This window comes from Homo sapiens, chromosome 2, assembly GCF_000001405.40.
Source record: "Homo sapiens chromosome 2, GRCh38.p14 Primary Assembly".
In the NCBI taxonomy this organism is placed as follows: Eukaryota; Metazoa; Chordata; class Mammalia; order Primates; family Hominidae; genus Homo; species Homo sapiens.
In genome coordinates this window covers 13,632,732-13,653,723 of record NC_000002.12, presented here as the reverse complement: position 1 = coordinate 13,653,723, position 20,992 = coordinate 13,632,732, and the positions used below count along the sequence as shown (strand labels likewise).

General features: G+C 37.5%; 2 long non-coding RNA genes across 6 annotated transcripts in view; one reads left to right on the top strand and one right to left on the bottom strand.

Moving 5' to 3' along the window:
- LOC105373438 (uncharacterized) overlaps positions 1-20,992 on the bottom strand; it is a 220,483-nt gene that overhangs the window by 104,673 nt on the left and 94,818 nt on the right. The gene's annotated exons all lie outside the window — the stretch shown is intronic.
- Positions 7,841-12,382, top strand: LOC124907736 (uncharacterized). The gene is made up of 2 exons (XR_007086223.1): positions 7,841-7,961; positions 10,417-12,382. It is a non-coding gene; the product is annotated as an uncharacterized LOC124907736 (long non-coding RNA).

Here is a 20,992-nt window from a genome sequence, read left to right as displayed (position 1 = left end):
TTGTTGCTGAAGCAAGTGAATAAACGAATACCAAAATATACTAAATAAGAGCACTAAAGAAAAAATGTCACATTCTCATCCACATGCTGAAGACTACGAACAGACAAAAATAAAATTTTGGGAATTTGAAAGACAAATTAACAGGGTTAGCCTGGAAGAAAATAATTCTTGCATAAATGTAATTACACATTTATTATCGAGTTAGGAAAAAAAAATATCAAAATGTGCTTGTCTTAATTTAGGGTTATCAAAAATGGACAGAAAAAAGAACTTGCATACATACAGATGTTTTTTGGGGAGATGATCTATGGAATAACAGATTTTAGAGCATGAGACAGGAAAAGAGGAAAAGCTAACTTAAGGTCTATTATTGTTATGTCATCTGTAGGCAGCATGAGACTTCTGACAATCATAGAGGATGCTTTTTAGATTGTTCACCTAAAAAGCTAATGCCTTTTCCCACTGTCTGCAGTAACTGTTAGTTAAAGGTTGCCTTGAGGATGATAAGCCCCTGCCCTTCCAGATGAAATTGCCACTGAAGAAGACCTGGCAACAGAATGCAGAAAGTTGGGCGGAGTTGACACTAGGTGAGTCATTGGCAGCAGGAAATGAGTCTGAGCTCCTCATAACAGTTCACAACAGCTGTGGCTGCATCTGAGGTGGGCTGAGGGGGCATGTCATAGGCACCAGAGGTATCTACTACAGCACTGTATTTCCTATATAATTTGTTGTAAACAATTTTTATTCAAGACACTCTTCTTTTTTATGCCTATAATTAAGAGAATGTACCCATCCAGGCTGTAGGTTCATTCCTATCTACCTATAAGTGGGTCCCATTTACACTTCATAAGAGGGTCTAATGGTCAGCCATGCCAAAGTCAGAAAAGCAGTTATCCCCTGCCATTTACTCCCTCATCTGCCTGATTATTTAATGCTTTCTGAATGCTTCCTGATTGATTCAATTTGTATTTTGCTTCATGTTGCACTTCTTCCACGTTTCCAACTATTTATTCCATGTGCTGATGGAGATGACTTATTCATGAGTCACACAATGATCATTTGATTATTTGTTTAAATTGTAATACTGAGCAAGACAATTTCAGTGATCATTTGCTTTAAAAATAAAAAGTATTCTAGCATATTATTAATGAACTTTTAGATAATGATAGTAAAAGGAAAAATGCATTTTATAATAAAGAGATAATGAGTTAGTTTTTGAATATGCTGTTAAACAGATAGCAGAAAAAATTAATATGCAAAATAAAACTATCTATAAAACTAGAGATCTAGATTTGGGAATTATTGATATTAGATGACTAGAAGATGAATTCCCATATGTAAAACTGAGAAATAAAACAGATGAAAATAGATTTCTTGCATGTGCATACAGAAGGCAGAAGAAGAGTAAGAGAGACAGGAAATAGGGTCAAGATTTTTTTTTTAATTTGCATGTATGTTTTAGGAAGAAGAGAAAAGAAAGATTTAATTAAAGTGTTGAGTATTAGTTGTAAATTTGAAATCAAGAAGTGACAAAGAACTCTATATTTAGTGATATGCCATTTTTCCTCTCATGAGTGCTTTTGGTGAACTGATGGCAAAGGTTTATTTGCTGCAGAAGGGCTAGAAAGGGAGTACAATCTGAGGACATGGTGAGAAGCCTGAAACTGAAACCCATAATTTTGAGTGTCTCCTATTATCATGAGTAGATTTTTAATTTAGCACAGTTTCATTTTCATAGAATTTTAAAGAACTTCTCTAGTGAGAAAGAAACAATGGGGACAGAGAAATTGAATCCATTACAGGAAGGCAATCATTGACACATAAATTGATGGAGGAGTTAATCACATAAAAGTAGCCATACAATGTTCCCTTTTCAAAAAGGTGTGAGACAGATACAGTGAAAATACAAACTATCCATAAATCAACTGAGGGGAAGCTGTAGATATGATTGATGATCCTAGTACTCACAGGTAGAACATAAAAAGCATAAGTTCATTTGTCAGGGGGAGGTGGTGTTTTGGTACTTGAGAAGAGTAAAATTAATAATGAAACTGTAAATGATAGTACATATTTATGAGATAACAGTAAGGTTCTGTTTATATGCCTGGTAGTAGACAAAAGGTTTAGGATTTCTGTGGATTATGAGTGTCTCAGAAAGTCAGGATTGGGTGCTAACCATTGCTTTGCCACTAGCTGAATAACCAACAAGTCACTTAACATCTCCCCATCTTAATGTACCTTTTTCTAATTTTTTTTTGATGCTGACAAAAAAGCTTTGTAGAAGCAAAAGTGATAATAATATGATGAAAATGAAAAGTGATGAATCCAATAAGATTTACAGAGGAATTAACCCTTGACAGCTGTGTGGGATGGCCTGTGAAATATAAACACCTACACACCAGGAAGGCCTGTCTCCCTTGAGACAAAAGAGTGGACAGAGAAGAGAGTCTTAATGGTCATAGTGGCAGGAAGCAGACAAATGCCTAGGCAGATATGGGCAGGTCTGCAATGAAACCCCACCACCTTCAAGCCAAAAACAGCCAGAAGGCTGAAACACCCAAGTGTTCATTCTGGATGAAAAATGTGACACAGAGTGAGAACTTCTTTTCCTGTTTTCTTGCCCTTTCCTGGTTGGTTCTTTCTGAATAATGCTTGATGAATCAAATGTTTCCTTTTCCCATATTACCTACAGCCCGCCCCTCCCCCATCCTGTGCCTATAAAAACCCCAGATTCAGCCACCCTGGGGGAGAAACCACCCAAGCATGGGAGTGGGGGACCATCCATTTCCCCTCTGCTGAAAGTTATTCTGTCAATCAATACAATTATTCTCTACCCTCCTGACTCTTTGAGTCAGAATATCCTCATTTTTCTTGGACATGAGACAAGAGCTTGGGACACACTGAATATGTGTATAGAAAAGGCTATAACATCGTGGCCCTCTGCCCTCTGCTGGAGGAGGGCAGACACACCATGTGACAGAAACACTGGCAGGGTTTTGCCTGCCTTGATGCCTTGGGCCGAGGTGCAGCAAGGGAGCATCTGGCCAGGTGTTTCTGGCTGGCAAAAGTGATGGAGAAGAATCCTGTGTCATTTTCTGGGGGATCATCTGGGATCCCTGAAGGGTGAGTAAATGTGGAACTACACTCTTCATTGTTTTCTAAGGCTTCTTGTCCTCAGACTTTTTACTAAAGACATATGAAGGACCAAATCTCTGATTAGCTAGTTAAGAGTGAATAGCACTACTACAGAGGACAGGATGCAGGAGAGGACACTGCCACCACCACCCTCTTGGCTCTCAGGGGTTGGGAATGTCAGTTTCAGTATAATCTAGTCTTTTTTATGGCATTTTCCTTCTTTATTTTAGGGCGTCATGGCACCTATCTTTTCTTTGACAATGTTGGGGTGTTGTTGCAAACTAGAGACATAACTGGATAGTTATATTTCTATAACTATCCAGTTATAGTCATCAAAATATGTAATTCAGAACAGTCATCAACAATTTAATTCAGAATAGTGCAGTTTTCATCTATTCTCAGAAGCAGGGAGGAGTCAGTGATTACAAGTTGTTTGTTTTTTTTTTTCCCTGTTGAAGGAACCAATTTGCATGAGAGCAAGAGACTTTTTCCCCAGGCATCTTCCCCTCCCTGCATTAAAAGAAGTTTTTACTTCTTTTCTCCACCATGCTAGGAGTTAACACAGCCCTGTGAATACAGAAAACTTTTCTACGTTTCTTTTTTTTTTTTTCTGGAAGACATGTTCCTAGGTCAGGTCCCAAATTCTAAGGGACTCCCTGTTCTCTCCCTTGTTTGAGGAGGATTCAGTTCCACAGTTTTCACCTTAGCTTTTGGCTTATGGTAAGAAAGCAGTGAAAGAGCAGCCCTCCTGGCTGTTGACTGCAGTCTGGCAAGGGCCACCTGGGACTTATCTTAATGAGTCCATGTACCCTCCTGAGGTTTTTTTTTTTTGTCCCAAACTCAATCCCAAGCTTCCAGTTGAAGCCCTAGAAAGGAAAACTGGATTTGAGGGATCCAGAGGCAGATGACAACAGAAGTCAAGGGGCACAGTACACGTGAGTATGACTAATTCCAGCTGATTAGTGCCCCCCCAGTCCCCCTGCCCCGTTTCGTGGATGGAGATCATGCTCGTATACATGGCATAGATGAGATCTAGGGAACTCAAACGTTACTGACAGCGGGGAGGATAGGCCAGTGCATAGGTGAGTGCAGATGAATCCTACCCTGTTGGTCTCCCTGTTATATGGGTGAAAACCACATTGGCACCCACAAGTGGTGCCCACCGAGGTTGCCAGGACTCAGAAATATAAGTGCGGAAGACAAAACGGGGACACTTTTTTGTCTCTCTCTCTCACACACTCTGTGTATTCACTGGGAAGAGAAACAAACTACAGAATATATTTTTCCCCTATTTCCAGATGGGTAACCAACCATCGTCGGTCTGTATTTCTCTTGAATGCATCCTGAATCATTGGGACTCCTGTGGAAAAAAATGCCCAATTTCTCCTGTTTCCTTCTCCATCCTCTCTTTGTGGATGAGTAATTGTGTGTCCATAACACAGGACCCTCCCCTGGGATGTATTCCCCAAACTGAGAAAAATTTAATTTCCCCAAACCTTAAACTGTTTGGTTTAAAAATGAATCAGGAAGAAATTACAGATCTAACTACACAAGTCTCTTGAGGAGGGACAACTTTTACAGTATGCAAATAAAACCTATTTGTCTATTCCCCCTTTACAGGACTCCAGGGTCAAAAGGGCTCCACAGCTCAGGGGAAGGAAACCCAGCAGCCTGACATGCTGACAAAAGAGTAAAAGCTCTTACCAGTCAGACTTCTGGCCTCTCTCTCTCTGTGCAAACTGGTTGTGGGAATGGTAAAAATCACTGTGTACATCCTCTGTAAAGTTTTGATTAATGGAAATAAGAATTTGTGAGGCTAGTCTTATGCTATAGCCAATCTGGTGCGCTTTGTGTGTCTTTCTTTATGGTTCTATCAGAAAGAGGGTTACCTTAGGATAGAATGCTGGCCTAGGACCCCATAAGCTCACTGTTCAAGCCAGCCTAGCAAACTGGTTAGTAACAACTTTTCTGCAGGTCTCTGAAGGAAAAAACAAACAAACTGGATGAGTTCTCCACCTTGTTTTACATCCTCGGGAGCTTGACCTTGTAACCATGTGGCAGTCCTTTCTTTTGATCTCTGCCATTTTACAATGACAGCCTGGGTTCAACCCAGGCTTAGGAAATGAGTACTTTCTGGTTAATATCTGTGTGACATTTGCTGATTCGCTTCCCTTCCATGAACGACTTCTAGAATCCTTTCTTAAATCTTTCTTTCTCTGAGCTACCATTGAAGATTCTAGATATTGTAAAAACTCCTTATCACCTCTTTGAAAATACCTCATACACTCGCAGTTAAGTCATAACCATAGTTAACGCTTATTGGTTTCATCTGTGAGGTTACTTTTGGTTAAGTTCAAAAGCCAGAAATATTGGCCACTTGGCGTGGCTAAAGTCGTGTAATAATGGATTTAAAATAATTTTTTAAAAGAGTGCTATGTTTAAAATTCAGCTTCATTAAATATGGATATCCAAGCTATAGATATATTTACAGGGCCTTTATGTCTTTTTTTTTTTAATCTTCTTGGATCTTGTTTTGCTGGAAAAAGGGTTTTTTCTTCTCAGTCAATTGAATTATCTTTATTCACTTTTAATGCACACACGAGAGGCCCTAAGGTAACTTCTGATAGCTTGGGACTCCTTGGGAGAAACAAAGAAGGCACCACATACCCAATTTTGGAAAAAAATATCTGTTTTCCTCATGGAACCCCAAGAATTAAAAGTGGATAGATCCCTCTAAAAATCTGTTTTTGTCTTCCAGCTATACCTGATTATTAAACCCTAAAAACTGAATGTTTTCCTAGTCCTATTTCTTGAAAGGCTTCACCATGAGGCCAATAATTCAATTAAGAGATTGGCAAGTAAAAATCTTACAATTACTGGATCTTCTTCTGCCTGTCTGCATATATGGTTTATGTGTGTGATGTTCATATACAAAAGAGCTCTAAGTAATTGGCATGCAGAAAAATAAGTGCTTAGCTCAAATATTTTTAAAGAAAAGGCAAGCTGTAATGTCTTTCAGTTCACATGACTTTACTATTTGAAAAATAAAAACAGTATTAAAGATTATTGGTAAAATACAAATGTTTTCAAAATGTAAAATTGTGGTCTAAATTATGTTCAGATATTAGGTTTGCTAAATGCTTTAAAGTCACAAACTGCTTCTTTGGCTTTTGAAAATTGTTCAATTTGCCTGCTTTACAGTTTGGTAAGGCCTGGAGACATATGAAACTAACCACGCCCCCAACTTTGCTGGAAAGAGTCAGACCTTATATGCACCTAGTACGTAATTAAAATAACTTACCAGGTTTTACATTAAAAGTAAAAATTGCTAAGAGTTACCATTATTACATGTAATTGTTATACTGAGACTACTGAAAATAGATTTACATTCAAGGTATGTAAGGAAAGTTAAATGTGATTTTACTAAAAGATTATAAAAAGACATGACAATGTAAATTTTTGCCTAGTTAGAGGGTTAAAGGATTGTCTTAAATTAGATAAGATAAAGCTGAATGTTTAAAAAATTTATGAAAGATTTGTAAAAATTAATCTTAGCAAATAAATTCTTTATGTGAACATATTGACAAGATTCAAAAGAGTATTATATGGTTTTTCTGTAAATTGAGCATTGAAATAAAAACACAAGGTTTTCTTAAGGCACTGATGTCCTTTTTAACAAAAATTTGCAAAGGATTATAAAAGGTTTATAGTAATCTCACCTCATGGTCAAACTGATTAAGATTGGATAGAATTATCTATAAGGTTTCATTTAAAAATTGGGGTTAAGATTGTTAGTAGACTAATGCAAGGGTGAAATTTGGCTTTCTCTCCCTTGAACAAGATTTTTATGTAATACTAAAGGATAATGAATGATTTTTGTTTGCCTTGTGAATGAACTACCAAAAAAGAAGATAACAAGAAACAAATTGTTTGGAAAGTTAAGTCTTCTGTCTTAATGAGTAAAGGTTTTTGCCTTGTTTTAAAATATTTGAGTCATATTTTGGCTAAATAAAAAACTTAAGGTAATCTGGAGTTCTATTTAATAATATGAAGTGTTTAAATCTCTAAAATATTTAACAGGCTTCTACAAATTAAACTTCAGCTTCAAAAGTTGTGTTTTTTCTGACCCCTAAACTTTTGAATGCTACAGAGGCCCCTGGAGCATCCAAAAGAGAGGTGAACAGGGCTATTTCACATGCTGAGTTACATGGGATTGCCAAAATAAAAATAAGGTTTAATCTTCTTCAAGTTATATTTTAGTGAGTATTAATATATGTTTCAAAATTTTATGGCATTTATAAAATTCTAATGTCTGTGTATATGCTACCAATCATAATAAAGGATATAATGTTAAGTTATTGTAAATCGCAGATACAACCTAATTTCTTTGTCAATCATGTTTTTGACTGTAACTCCTCTGGACATTTTGTAACTCACAGACAATTGCTGTCTTGCTTGATCCTTTACAAAAGATGGTTTATAATCAGCTCTAGGACTTCAGCAGGTGCTGTCAAATGCAGGTTTCTGATAACTTTGGATGTTGTGATAATGGCATAGAGGAAAAATGTACAGGACTCATGAAGAGCTGTGATGTTCATGAATATCAAGCAGAGCAAAAGTAAGTGGAATGAACTAAATAGAAAACTGAAGTAATCCTTTTTAACTTTTTGTTTAAAATATTGTTGAACCTTGTTTTATTTTTCAGAGTCAAGGAAAATTTGAGCTATCTGCAACTTTTAAAAATTGAGTAAAGTATATTCCTGTGAATAAAATTTGAAGGTAGTTGTTTCTCCTTACCTGGTTTCTCCAGAATTTGGAAACTATTTGTGAGTATTCTTAACTAATGGCAATATAGTTATTTGCATAAGTACAATAAGAATCCATTTTCTTTTGCAGCAGGACACAATTGGACAAAAAAAAATTGTTTTATCAAGGGTTTGACTAGAATGGTGTGCTCTCCTTCAGGGAATTAAGCTTAACTTACAGAACCAATATAAATCCCTTGGGAAAACTGGCCTCATGCATTGTCTACAAAGTCCCTGTATGGGGTTCTTGACCTGCGATGAGTAAAGAATGTCACATTCTAACAGGTCTAGGAACCTCAAGCTATCTTGGGACCTCAGGAAGAGAGGAATTTACCTGACTCACAGATATTTCAGCATACAAACCCATTGCTGGGCTTGGCTTTAAAAGGTCTTATCTGAGATTCATTGTGAAACAGAGTTCCCTCAAAGCCAATCTAGAAAAGCCTATGGGAAAATAATTATTCTTGCTGCACTTTATGCAATTAATCAGGCCAAGTATAAGACTAAACTTTATTTTGCAAACAACTCAGTTCTGTCATAATTTTTTTTTTTTAAAAAAATAAAGACTGGAGAGAGACAACTTGTGTTTCAAAACTTATAGACTAGTCATTAAATTCTAGTCTCATTAGTAGTTTAAGTTTTTATCTGTATTTTAGACTAACCCTGTGGATTAGTCTGTTCTCAAGATGTTAATAAAGCCATACCCAAGACTGGGTAGTTTATAAAGGAAGACGTTTAATTGATCCATAGTTCTGTATTGCTGGTGAGGCCTCAGGAAACTTACAATCATGGCAGAAGGCACTTCTTTACAGGGAAGCAGAAGAGAGAATGAGCACTGAGTGAAGGGGAAAGCTCCTTATAAAAGCCATCAGACCTCATAGAACTCACTCACTATCACGAGAATAACATGAGAGAAACTGCCCCCATGATTCAATTATCTCCACCTGGCCCCACCCTTGACACATAGGGATTATTACAATCCAAGGTGAGATTTAGGTGGGGACACAGAACCTAACAATATCATATCTTCCCCTGGCCCCTACCAAATCTCATGTCCTCCAATTCAAAACACAATCATGCCCTTCCAATAGTCTCCGAAAGACTCAACTCATTCCAGCATTAACCCAAAAGTCCAAGTCCAAGATCTTGTCTGAGACAAGGCAATTCCCTTCCACCATTGAGCCTGTAAAATCAAAAGCAAGTTAATTACTTTCTAGATACAGTGGAGGTGAAGGCATTGGGTAAATACACCTGTTTCAAATGGGAGAAATTTGCCAAAAAAGGGGCTACAGGCTCCATGCAAGTCAGAAATCCAGTAAGGCTTCCAAATCTTAAAGCTCCAAAATGATCTCCCTTTGACTCCATGTCACATATCCAGGTCACGATGATGCAAGAGGTGGGCTTCCACAGCCTTGGGCAGCCCCACTCCTGTGGCTTTGTAGGGTATAGCCCACTCTCTGCTGCTTTCATTGACTAGCATTGAGTGTCTGTAGCTTATCCATGGGCACGGTGCAAGTTGTCAGTGAATCTACCATTGTGGGGTATGGAGTATGGTGACCCCCTTCTCATAGCTCCAATAGGCAGTGCCCCAGTGGGGACTCTGAGTGGGGGCTCCAACACCACATTTCCCTTCTGCACTGCCTTAGCAGACGCTCTGCATGAAGGCTCTGTCACTGCAGCAAACTTCTTCCTGGACATCTAGGGGTTCCCACACATACTCTGAAATCTAAGAAAAGGTTTCCAGATCTCAATTCTTGACCTCAGTGTACCCATAGCCCCAACACCACATGAAGCCACCAGGGGTTTGGGCTTGCACCCTCTGAAGTAACAGCCTCAACTGTGTGTTGGCCCCTTTTAGCCACAGCTGGAGTTGAAGCAGCTGGGACAGAGGGCACCATGTCTCAAGGTTGCACAGAGCAGGAGGCTCTGGGCCCAGCCCACAAAACCATTTTGCTTTCCTAGGCCTCCAGGTCTGTGATAGTAGTGGCTGCTATGAAGATCTCTGATGTGCACTGGAGTCATTTTCCCCCTTGTCTTGGTGGTTAACATTTGGGTCCTTGTTACTTATGCAAATTTCTGCAGCCAGCTTGAATTCCTTCCCAGAAAATTGGTTTTTCTTTTCTACTGCTTTGTCAGGCTGCAAATTTTCAAAACTTTTATGCTCTGCTTCCTCTTGAACACTTTGCTGCTTAGAAATTTCTTCTGCCAGATAATCTAAATCATCTCTTTCAAGTTCAAAGTTTCACGGATCTGTAGAGCAGGAACAAAATGCCACCAGTCTCTTTGCGTATCACCTTTATTCCAGTTCCCAACAAGTGTCTTATCTTCACCTGAAACCACCTTTTAGCAGGCATAACTATATCCACCAGTTATCTGGGCATGTCAGCAGCCTTGGGAATTTTGAGCTGTCTTTACCCCCTTGTTTCATTTTGATACATGTCTTCTAATAATCTGGTTTGTCTCTTCTTGCCTTCAGGCCATCAAACTCCAAATGTTCATGCAACTGGAGCCTCATATTATGGCTGCCATTTACCAGAGACCCTTAGATAGGCATATGAGAGAGATCTGACTGCTCTCTTTCCAAAACAGCTTACCTGTCAGCAGAAAGCAGATAAGAGTGATCACCATCCTTTTCCTAAGGGCAGTGTACCTCTTGATAGGGGAAAATTAATAGTGGCAGGAGACAGACAAATGCCTAGGCAGATAGGGGCACTTCCCTGGTAAAACCCTACCTTCAAGCCAAAAACAGCCTGAAGACTGAAAAACCAGACTGCTGGTTCCTGATGAAAAACACAACCTGGAGTGAGAAATTCTGTTTCTGTTTTCCTGCCCTTTTCCATTTGGTTATTTCTGAATTATACTTTTTAATCAATTGAATGTTGCTTTTTCCAAGACTACCTATGGCCTGCCCCACCCCCATCCTGTGCCTACAAAAACTCCAGACTCAGCCATCCTGGGGGAGAAACGACCTGATTGCAGGAGTGGGGGACCACTCCTGTGTGCCCTCTCCCCGAGAGCTGTTCCGTTGCTCAATAAAATTATTATAGCATGGTACTGGTACCAAAATAGACATACAGATCAATGGAACAGAACTGAGCCCTCAGAAATAACGCCGCATATCTACAACTATCTGATCTTTGACAAACCTGAGAAAAACAAGCAATGGGGAAAGGATTCCCTATTTAATAAATGGTGCTGGGAAAACTGGCTAGCCATATGTAGAAAGCTGAAACTGGATCCCTTCCTTACACCTCATACAAAAATTAATTCAAGATGGATTAAAGACTTAAACATTAGACCTAAAACCATAAAAACCCTAGAAGAAAACCTAGGCATTACCATTCAGGACATAGGCATGGGCAAGGACTTCATGTCTAAAACACCAAAAGCAATGGCAACAAAAGATAAAATTGACAAATGGGATCTAATTAAACTAAAGAGCTTCTGCACAGCAAAAGAAACTACCATCAGAGTGAACAGGCAACCTACAAAATGGGAGAACATTTTTGCAAAAATATCCAGAATCTACAATGAACTCAAACAAATTTACAAGAAAAAAAACAAAGAACCCCATCAAAAAGTGGGCCAAGGACATGAACAGACACTTCTCAAAAGAAGACATTTATGCAGCCAAAAAACACATGAAAAAATGCTCATCATCACTGGCCATCAGAGAAATGCAAATCAAAACACAATGAGATACCATCTCACACCAGTTAGAATGGCAATCATTAAAAAGTCAGGAAACAACAGGTGCTGGAGAGGATGTGGAGAAATAGGAACACTTTTACACTGTTGGTGGGACTGTAAACTAGTTCAACCATTGTGGAAGTCAGTGTGGCGATTCCTCAGGGAATCTGGAGCTAGAAATACCATTTGACCCAGCCATCCCATTACTGGGTATATACCCAAAGGACTAGAAATCATGCTGCTATAAAGACACATGGACACATATGTTTATTGTGGCACTATTCACAATAGCAAAGACTTGGAACCCACCCAAATGTCCAACAATGATAGACTGGATTAAGAAAATGTGGCCCATATACACCATGGAATACTATGCAGCCATAAGAAATGATGAGTTCATGTCCTTTGTAGGGACATGGATGAAATTGGAAATCATCATTCTCAGTAAATTATCGCAAGGACAAAAAACCAAACACCACATGTTCTCACTCATAGGTGGGAACTGAACAATGAGAACACATGGACACAGGAAGGGGAACATCACCCTCCGGGGACTGGTGTGGGGTGGCAGGAGGGGGGACGGATAGCATTAGGAGATATACCTAATGCTAAATGACGAGTTCATGGGTGCAGCACACCAGCATGGCACATGTATACATATGTAACTAACCTGCACATTGTGCACATGTACCCTAAAACTTAAAGTATAATAATAATAAAATTAAAATAAAATAAAATAAAATTATTCTCCACCCTCCTCACTCTTTGATCATCAGCATATCCTCATTCTTCTTGGATGTGAGACAAGAGCTCAGGACCTACTGAACTTGTGTACAGAGAAGGCTGTAACATCATGCCCTCTGCCCTCCCCTGGCAGATGGTAGCCACCCCATGTGACAGAAATGTTGGCAGGGCTGAGCCAGCCCCAAAGCAGCAGGCCAAGGTGGGGCAAGGGTATTGTCAGCTGGGTGTTTCCAGCTGGTGAAAGTGATTAAGATAAGTCCTGCATCAATGGCAGATTAGATACTGTCTGTTCTATGTATCTCACATGCAAGGGGCCCTGTAAAATGAATTTTTATGTTATTGTCTACAGAAAAGCTACCCTCTACTGTGAATATACATAGGAAAATGTCCTCACTATGACCCATCATGGGTGGACTAGGAAATCATCATGTTTAATATGAAGATTGGAGTCTATAGATATGTAAGTTTACACATTTTGTTCCTGGTCAAATTAATCAGTCAAAAAGTTTGAAGATTGTGATATTCATATTTGAGATTTTACAATTAAAATCAGTGTATAATTTCCTAAGAGAAATAGTAAGATATGATGAAAAAAATGCAAAGATGTTTTGAGGAAAACCCCAGACAATATTAAATATCTAGGGTCTGTAATTTTTCCCTAGAAAAAGCATGTTATAAATTATCCATTCATATTATTAGTTTTAATCATTTCCTTTAGTTTAGATTGACAGCTTCCTTTTCTCACAACCCCAATCCTAATACTTTTGAATAGAGGCAATTTGTAAAGACATGCCCTGAGGAAAGTTATATTCATGCACCATGCTTTCCTAGTATTTAAATCAAAAAGAGCCTTCTATTATTTGACAGAAAAGTAATGAATAAAATAACAGCAGGATGAAAGAAACACTTTCTAGGAGGACATAGCTATTGATAACATAGAAATAACTTCCTATCTTTGACAGTCAAAATGGTTCACAGTTAAAAATCTTATAAATGTATTTTGTGGGATTAGAGATGAAAGAACTGATTCAGTTCCTACTTTGCTGAGCTGTTTTTGTTTTATTCAGCTTTATCGACTTCTTTTTCCTACACCTTCTCCCCTAGATTATTCTTTCAGCCGTCAAGAATCAGCTCCAGTGTCATTTTCATTCTGAAAGCTTTCTATTCCTCCCTAGGTTGTACCAGTTGGTTCCTCTTAAATTTGTGCTCTCACGTCACATAATATTTCCTGTATTGCATTTGTATTAGCCAATATCCAGTTAGGAAAATACACACAATGCTACTTCTTTCAAATGGGAAATTGAATACCAGGAACTGGTTTTAATGTGCTGGAAGAACTGGATGAGCAAAAGAAGGTTAAGTTATCTCACCAGTTGGTAGCTGATTCAAATCTAATGATTAACCAACCAACTGAATGGGAGATCAAGTGAAATGAGCCAAGAAAGTATTATCTCAAAAAAGATTGCCCAAAGCGACCAAACTAAGTTAAGGCAAAAATACCAATGGCTTCACTTTACAAAATGGAAACTCTACCCGTAGCACAGTAGTCATTAGCATACTTGAGTCTTCCTCCTCTGAGTGTTCCATCTCAGAGATATTAACATATTTAGACAGAATGTCCCACATAATTAACATAGAATAGAGCGGTGTGAGCTGTTAAGAAAATTATTCTAATGTGTATGAGCTTTGGAATTAGAAAGGTTGGTTGGTTTTCTCTATTCTTTAAACTCAAGTGAGGAAATACAATTTCTATCTCACAGAATTGCTGATAAGATTGGAGAACATAAATTCAAAAAGAATAGTACATAGTGTGTGCTCAATCACTGAAAGCTACTCTTTATATTACTATTTTTCATTAAAACTCTGTTTCCTTTTGCTCTGATTCTGTCTTTATAAATTCACCTTTAGGATGATTCATTTGCTTTCTGGATATGTTGATTCTGATCAACTATAGCCATATATGTAATTATTTTGACACACAGATTATCTTTTGATTTCTTATTTAGATCTCCTTCAAGCTATAACCAACATTTTAGAGTGAACTGAGAACCTACCCTACTTTTTGGGTGGCCCTGCTTGATGACCAAATCTAGGTTATGATGAATTCACCTAATTAACCTACCATGCACACAAATGGTGACAAATCTGCCTGCTTCTTTTTCTTTGCAGGCATCATCACCCCATTTATTCTTGACAAGTTGCTCCCTTTTGTTACATTCAAATTTCATCAGTATCTAAGATTTCTTTCACATGACTGTGATCGCCTATATGGTGATTAACATTGGCTTTGATTAAAAGAAATAGAGACATAAATTTTATTTTTAAAGAGTAAGTAGATTTTTACCAGTATAACAAAATGTATTTTTGCAAAATATCAATTATTTACCCACAATTAAAAATAAATAAAAATGCTTCAAAACAACCTGCACAAAAAGAGCATACACATTCTATTTACTTAATAACAATTTTAGATGTAAAATGCTTTTAAGAACTTACTACACTAAAATGTTCAAAACCAAAGGACAAAAACATTAATTGAAACACTCTTTGCAAAGATTATAACAGTGAAGAAATTATGACAGTGCAAGTGATCTGACCTAACTGACTTCAACTTGCCTTTAACTTCCAAGCTGCCCTTGTTCATTCTTGGGTGCAGGTTGAACTAACTTTGAGAAGAACTTAGTTTAGAGTTTAACATTGAAACAAAGATGACAACATCCCCTCCCCAAAACGAACCCCACTTTACTTGAGGACAAGATCATCTCTGTAAAATTAACAAATTATCCACAAGATTAGAAATTATGGCTCAGGAGTCATGCAGCCAGAGACCACAAGATTCCTCATCTCCCTAATTACTCCTGTGGCTAACATTGCTGTTGTAAAGCCTAGGATTTACCTTCAAGATATTTTTCAGAGCCTGTATTCCGATGAATCAGCCAGCACCACCCAGACTAATAAACTAGTTCATCTGGTCTTGTGGTCCCCACCCAGAAATTGACTCAGTGCACGAGAATAGCTTTGACTCCCTATGATTTCATCTCCAGCACAACTAACTGGCATTCCATGTTCCCTGGACCCTCTCCTGCCAAGCTATGTTAAAAAAAACCTACTCTCCAAGTTTTCAGAATGGCTGACTTGAGTAATAACAAAATCCTGGTCTCTCTTTTAGCCAGCTCTATGTGTATTAAACTCTGTCTCTATTGCAATTACCCTGTCTTGATAAATCAGCTCTATCTGGGCAGCAGACAAGGAGAACCCATTGGACAGTTACAAAACCACTTAATGGTGTATGACACCATAATTTTATTTCTGTAACACTGCAGGTGGATTTTTGTGCTAGGAAAAAATGAAAAATATAGATTAGAATGTAAATTAAAGGAATGGGTGTTCATCAATTTCTGGTTAACTAAAACTTTGTATGGACTGGATGCCTTTGAGCATCAATTGTGTTGAGAAAAACTTTCTTACATATTACTAATACTTTTTTTACTTTAGCAAAAATGCTTTTGATATTTCAGAATCCTGTTGTATATTTGTCAAATTTATAAGCACCTGATTAACTTTTTAAATTTAAGTATCAATGTCACCCTTCAGATGTGATTTCCATTACTATTCCTTATAACATTTTTTACCCTAATGAACCTAGGACTTAGAATAGGGAAGACACTAAAATCTACTTAGATAATTGGCCTTAAAGATACTTTATTCAGAAAGTGATTTTTGAATGCCTACTATATTCCTAGCTTTGTCTAGATAAAGCAAAACAGATACAACCCTCTCTTTGGGAGCTCATATTCTAGTAAAAAGCTTGACTACTGCTTCTGAATCACTTGTGAGCATTCATTTCATTTTACAATATGTGTATAGATGTCTATTTCCTCTATGAGAGTAAATAAAACCTTTCTTATGCACATCATTCTTTGGATTTTCATATGAAAAAATTTAATTTATTTTATTTTGAGATGGAGTCTCTCTCTGTTGCCCAGGCTGGAGTGCAGTGGCTCCATCTTGGTTCACTGCAACCTCTGCCTCCAGGGTTCAAGTGATTCTCCTGCCTCAGCCTCCAAGTAGCTGGGATTACAGGTGCCTGCCACCACGCCCAGCTAATTTTTATATTTTTAGTAGAGACAGGGTTTTGCCATGTTGGCCAGGCTGGTCTCGAACTCCTGACCTCAAGTGATCTGCCCACCTTGGCCTCCCAAAGTGCTGGGATTACAGGCCTGAGCCACGGTGCCCGGCCTAGAAAAATTTTAAAATGCATAATTTGACAAGGCCTAAATTCTTATTTATTTAGTTCCTATTTTCTATTATGACAATGTCAAGTATTCATTTTTGCCTCTCAGTTCTCTCAGTACACCTTCTGCAATTTTGTAATCTGGTTGGCTTTTTCTGTGACAGTTTGCTACAGTGTTCTGTTCCCCTTTACTGTTTTTTGTCCTTTGTTACTTCCTCCTTACTAAAAGGCTAATCATCAAGGACTTTCCTACCTTTCGTTTTCTGGTTTATATTTACTTTGATTGATTAATCTTAACACTACCTTAAACACTGAGTTTTTAATAAGTATCTTTTGCATTTATTTCAGTTTTGTTATGAAAATCAGATCTTCTTTGCAACAATATTATCTTATTGAATACCATATAGAACTCCTCAAAAAGCTGATGGTTTCTGTTTTAAAGGTGGTGATAAAATACACTGATAAATCCATACTTTCACCAAGAATGGATCTAATACGTTATCAATTATCACCACTAAAATCACTGAAATCTGTAAGATCATAGTTAAAACTATTTGATGTGGTGTGCCAATTTATAATCTAAGGATCAGACTAAAAAAACAATTTCTTGCATGTTGATCATAAATTAAAATTTTTATAAAAACATGGAGCTTGTAAATTTGTTTGAGTTCATTGTAGATTCTGGATATTAGCCCTTTGTCAGATGAGTAGGTTGCAAAAATTTTCTCCCACTCTGTAGGTTGCCTGTTCACTCTGATGGTAGTTTCTTTTGCTGTGCAGAAGCTCTTTAGTTTAATTAGATCCCATTTGTCAATTTTGGCTTTTGTTGCCATTGCTTTTGGTGTTTTAGACATGAAGTCCTTGCCCATGCCTATGTCCTGAATGGTATTGCCTAGGTTTTCTTCTAGGGTTTTTATGGTTTTAGGTCTAACATTTAAGTCTTTAATCCATCTTGAATTAATTTTTGTATAAAGTGTAAGGAAGGGATCCAGTTTCAGCTTTCTACATATGGCCAGCCAGTTTTCCCAGCACCATTTATTAAATAGGGAATCCTTTCCCCATTGCATGTTTTTGTCAGGTTTGTCAGAGATCAGATAGTTGTAGATATGTGGCATTATTTCTGAGGGCTCTGTTCTGTTCCATTGGTCTGTATCTCTGTTTTGGTAGTAGTACCATGCTGTTTTGGTTACTGTAGCCTTGTAGTATAGTTTGAAGTCAGGTAGCGTGATGCCTCCAGCTTTGTTCTTTTGGCTTAGTATTGACTTGGCAATGTGGGCTCTTTTTTGGTGCCATATGAACTTTAAAGTAGTTTTTTCCAATTCTGTGAAGAAAGTCATTGGTAGCTTGATGGGGATGGCATTGAATCTATAAATTACCTTGGGCAGTATGGCCATTTTCATGATATTGATTCTTCCTACCCATGAACATGGAATGTTCTTCCATTTGTTTGTATCCTCTTTTATTTCATTGAGCAGTGGTTTGTAGTTCTCCTGGAAGAGGTCCTTCACATCCCTTGTAAGTTGGATTCCTAGGTATTTTATTCTCTTTGAAGCAATTGTGAATGGGAGTTCACTCATGCTTTGGCTCTCTGTTTGTCTGTTATTGGTGTATAAGAATGCTTGTGATTTTTGTACATTGATTTTGTATCCTGAGATTTTGCTGAAGTTGCTTATCAGCTTGAGGAGATTTTGGGCTGAGATGATGGGGTTTTCTAGATATACAATCATGTCATCTGCAAACAGGGACAATTTGCCTTCCTCTTTTCCTAATTGAATGCCCTTTATTTCCTTCTCCTGCCTGATTGCCCTGGCCAGAACTTCCATCACTATGTTGAATAGGAGTGGTGAGAGAGGGCATCCCTGTCTTGTGCCAGTTTTCAAAGGGAATGCTTCCAGTTTTTGCCCATTCAGTATGATATTGGCTGGGGTTTGTCATAGATAGCTCTTCTTATTTTGAGATACGTCTCATCAATACCTAATTTATTGAGAGTTTTTAGCATGAAAGGTTGCTGAATTTTGTCAAAGGCATTTTCTGCATCTATTGAGATAATCATGTGGTTTTTGTCTTTGGTTCTGTTTATATGCTGGATTACGTTTATTGATTTGCATATGTTGAACCAGCCTTGCATCCCAGGGATGAAGCCCACTTGATCATGGTGGATAAGCTTTTCGATGTGCTGCTGCATTCGGTTTGCCAGTATTTTATTGAGGATTTTTGCATCAATGTTCATCAAGGATATTGGTCTAAAATTCTCTTTTTTGGTTGTGTCTCTGCCCGGCTTTGGTATCAGGATGATGCTGGCCTCAAAAAATGAGTTAGGGAGGAAAACAAACAACCCCATCAAAAAGTGGGCGAAGGATATGAACAGACACTTCTCAAAAGAAGACATTTATGCAGCCAAAAAACACAAGAAAAAATGCTCATCATCACTGGCCATCAGAGAAATGCAAATCAAAACCACAATGAGATACCATCTCACACCAGTTAGAATGGCGATCATTAAAAAGTCAGGAAACAACAGTTGCTGGAGAGGATGTGGAGAAATAGGAACACTTTTACACTGTTGGTGGAATTGTCAACTAGTTCAACCATTTTGAAAGTCAGTGTGGCGATTCCTCAGGGATCTAGAACTAGAAATACCATTTGACCCAGCCATCCCATTACTGGGTATATACCCAAAGGACTAGAAATCATGCTGCTATAAAAGACACATGCACACGTATGTTTATAGCGGCACTATTCACAATGGCAAAGACTTGGAACCAACCCAAATGTCCATCAATGATAGACTGGATTAAGAAAATGTGGCACATATACAGCATGGAATACTATGCAGCCATAAAAAATGATGAGTACATGTCCTTTGTAGGGACATGGATGAAGCTGGAAACCATCATTCTCAGCAAACTATTGCAAGGACAAAAAACCAAACACCGCATGTTCTCACTCATAGGTGGGAATTTAACAATGAGAACACATGGACACAGGAAGGGGAACATCACACACCGGGGACTGTTGTGGGTTGGGGAGAGGCGGGAGGGATAGCATTAGGAGATACACCTAATGCTAAATGATGAGTTAATGTGTGCAGCACACCAGCATGGCACATGTATACATATGTAACAAACCTGCACGTCGTGCACATGTACCCTAAAACTTAAAGTATAATAATAATAAATTAAAAAAAACATGGAGCTTATAATTAAAAAAAACTAAATAATAAAAAATTAAGATATTTAAGTATTCATTGACGTGTCCATTACCTTTAATATAAACTATATATAATTAAGAATTTACCTATTTATACATCTTGCAAATCAGATGCTATTAAAAAACTGCTATCTATAAACCACATTATTTTTAAATCAATAATAAGTTAATGATAAATAATTCAGGTTCCATAATTTTTTACTAAATAGATTATTTTTTAGAACGCTTTTAAGTTTGAAGAAAAATTGTACTGTCCGGTTATATGGATTTGACCAAATGCATAATGTCATATATCACCATTATATTATTATACAGAATAGTTTCGGTATTATTCTGAAATTCCCCGTGATGCACCTATGCATCCTTACTTCCCCTCTCTGTATCTTTGATAAGTATTGATCTTTTCATTTTTCCTATAGGTTTGTCTTTTCCAGAGTATTATACAGTTTGAATTGTATACCATGTAGCCACTTAGAACTGGATTCTTTCACTTAGCGATATGCATAAAAGGTTTCTCCATGTCTTTTGTGTTTTGATAGTTCATTTATTTTTAGCACTGAATAATATCCTATTGTATAGATGTACTATAGTTTATTTATTCAAGAACCTACAGAAAGATATCTTGGTTGCTTCCAAGTTTTGGTAATTGTGAACAAAGTTGCTAGAAATATTTACATGCAGGTTTTTGTGTAGACATAAGTTTTTAACTCATTTTGGTAAATGAGTTAAATACCAAGGAGTGCAATTAATAAATCATATAGTAAGAGAAGAAGGCATAAATCATATGCCTTCAAAGAGGCTGAATCATTTTGCATTCCCACCATCAGTGAATGAGAATTCAGGTTGGCCCACGTCCTTGACAGAATTGGTATTCTCAGTGTTTTGGATTTTAGCCATTCTAATAGTGGTGTGCTGGTATCTCATTGTTATTTAAATTTGTATTTATTTAATGATGCATGATGATGAACATCTTTTAATACACTTATTTGCCATTTGTATATCTTCTGTGGTATCCATTCAGATCCTTTGCCAATTTTTAAATTGGGTTGTTTGATCTCTTATTGTTTAGTTTTAAGGGTTGCTTGTACATATTGGATACAAGTCCTTTATCAAAAAGATGTTTTGTAAACTATTTTCTCCCAGTATGGGATTTGTCATTTCATTCTCTCAGCAG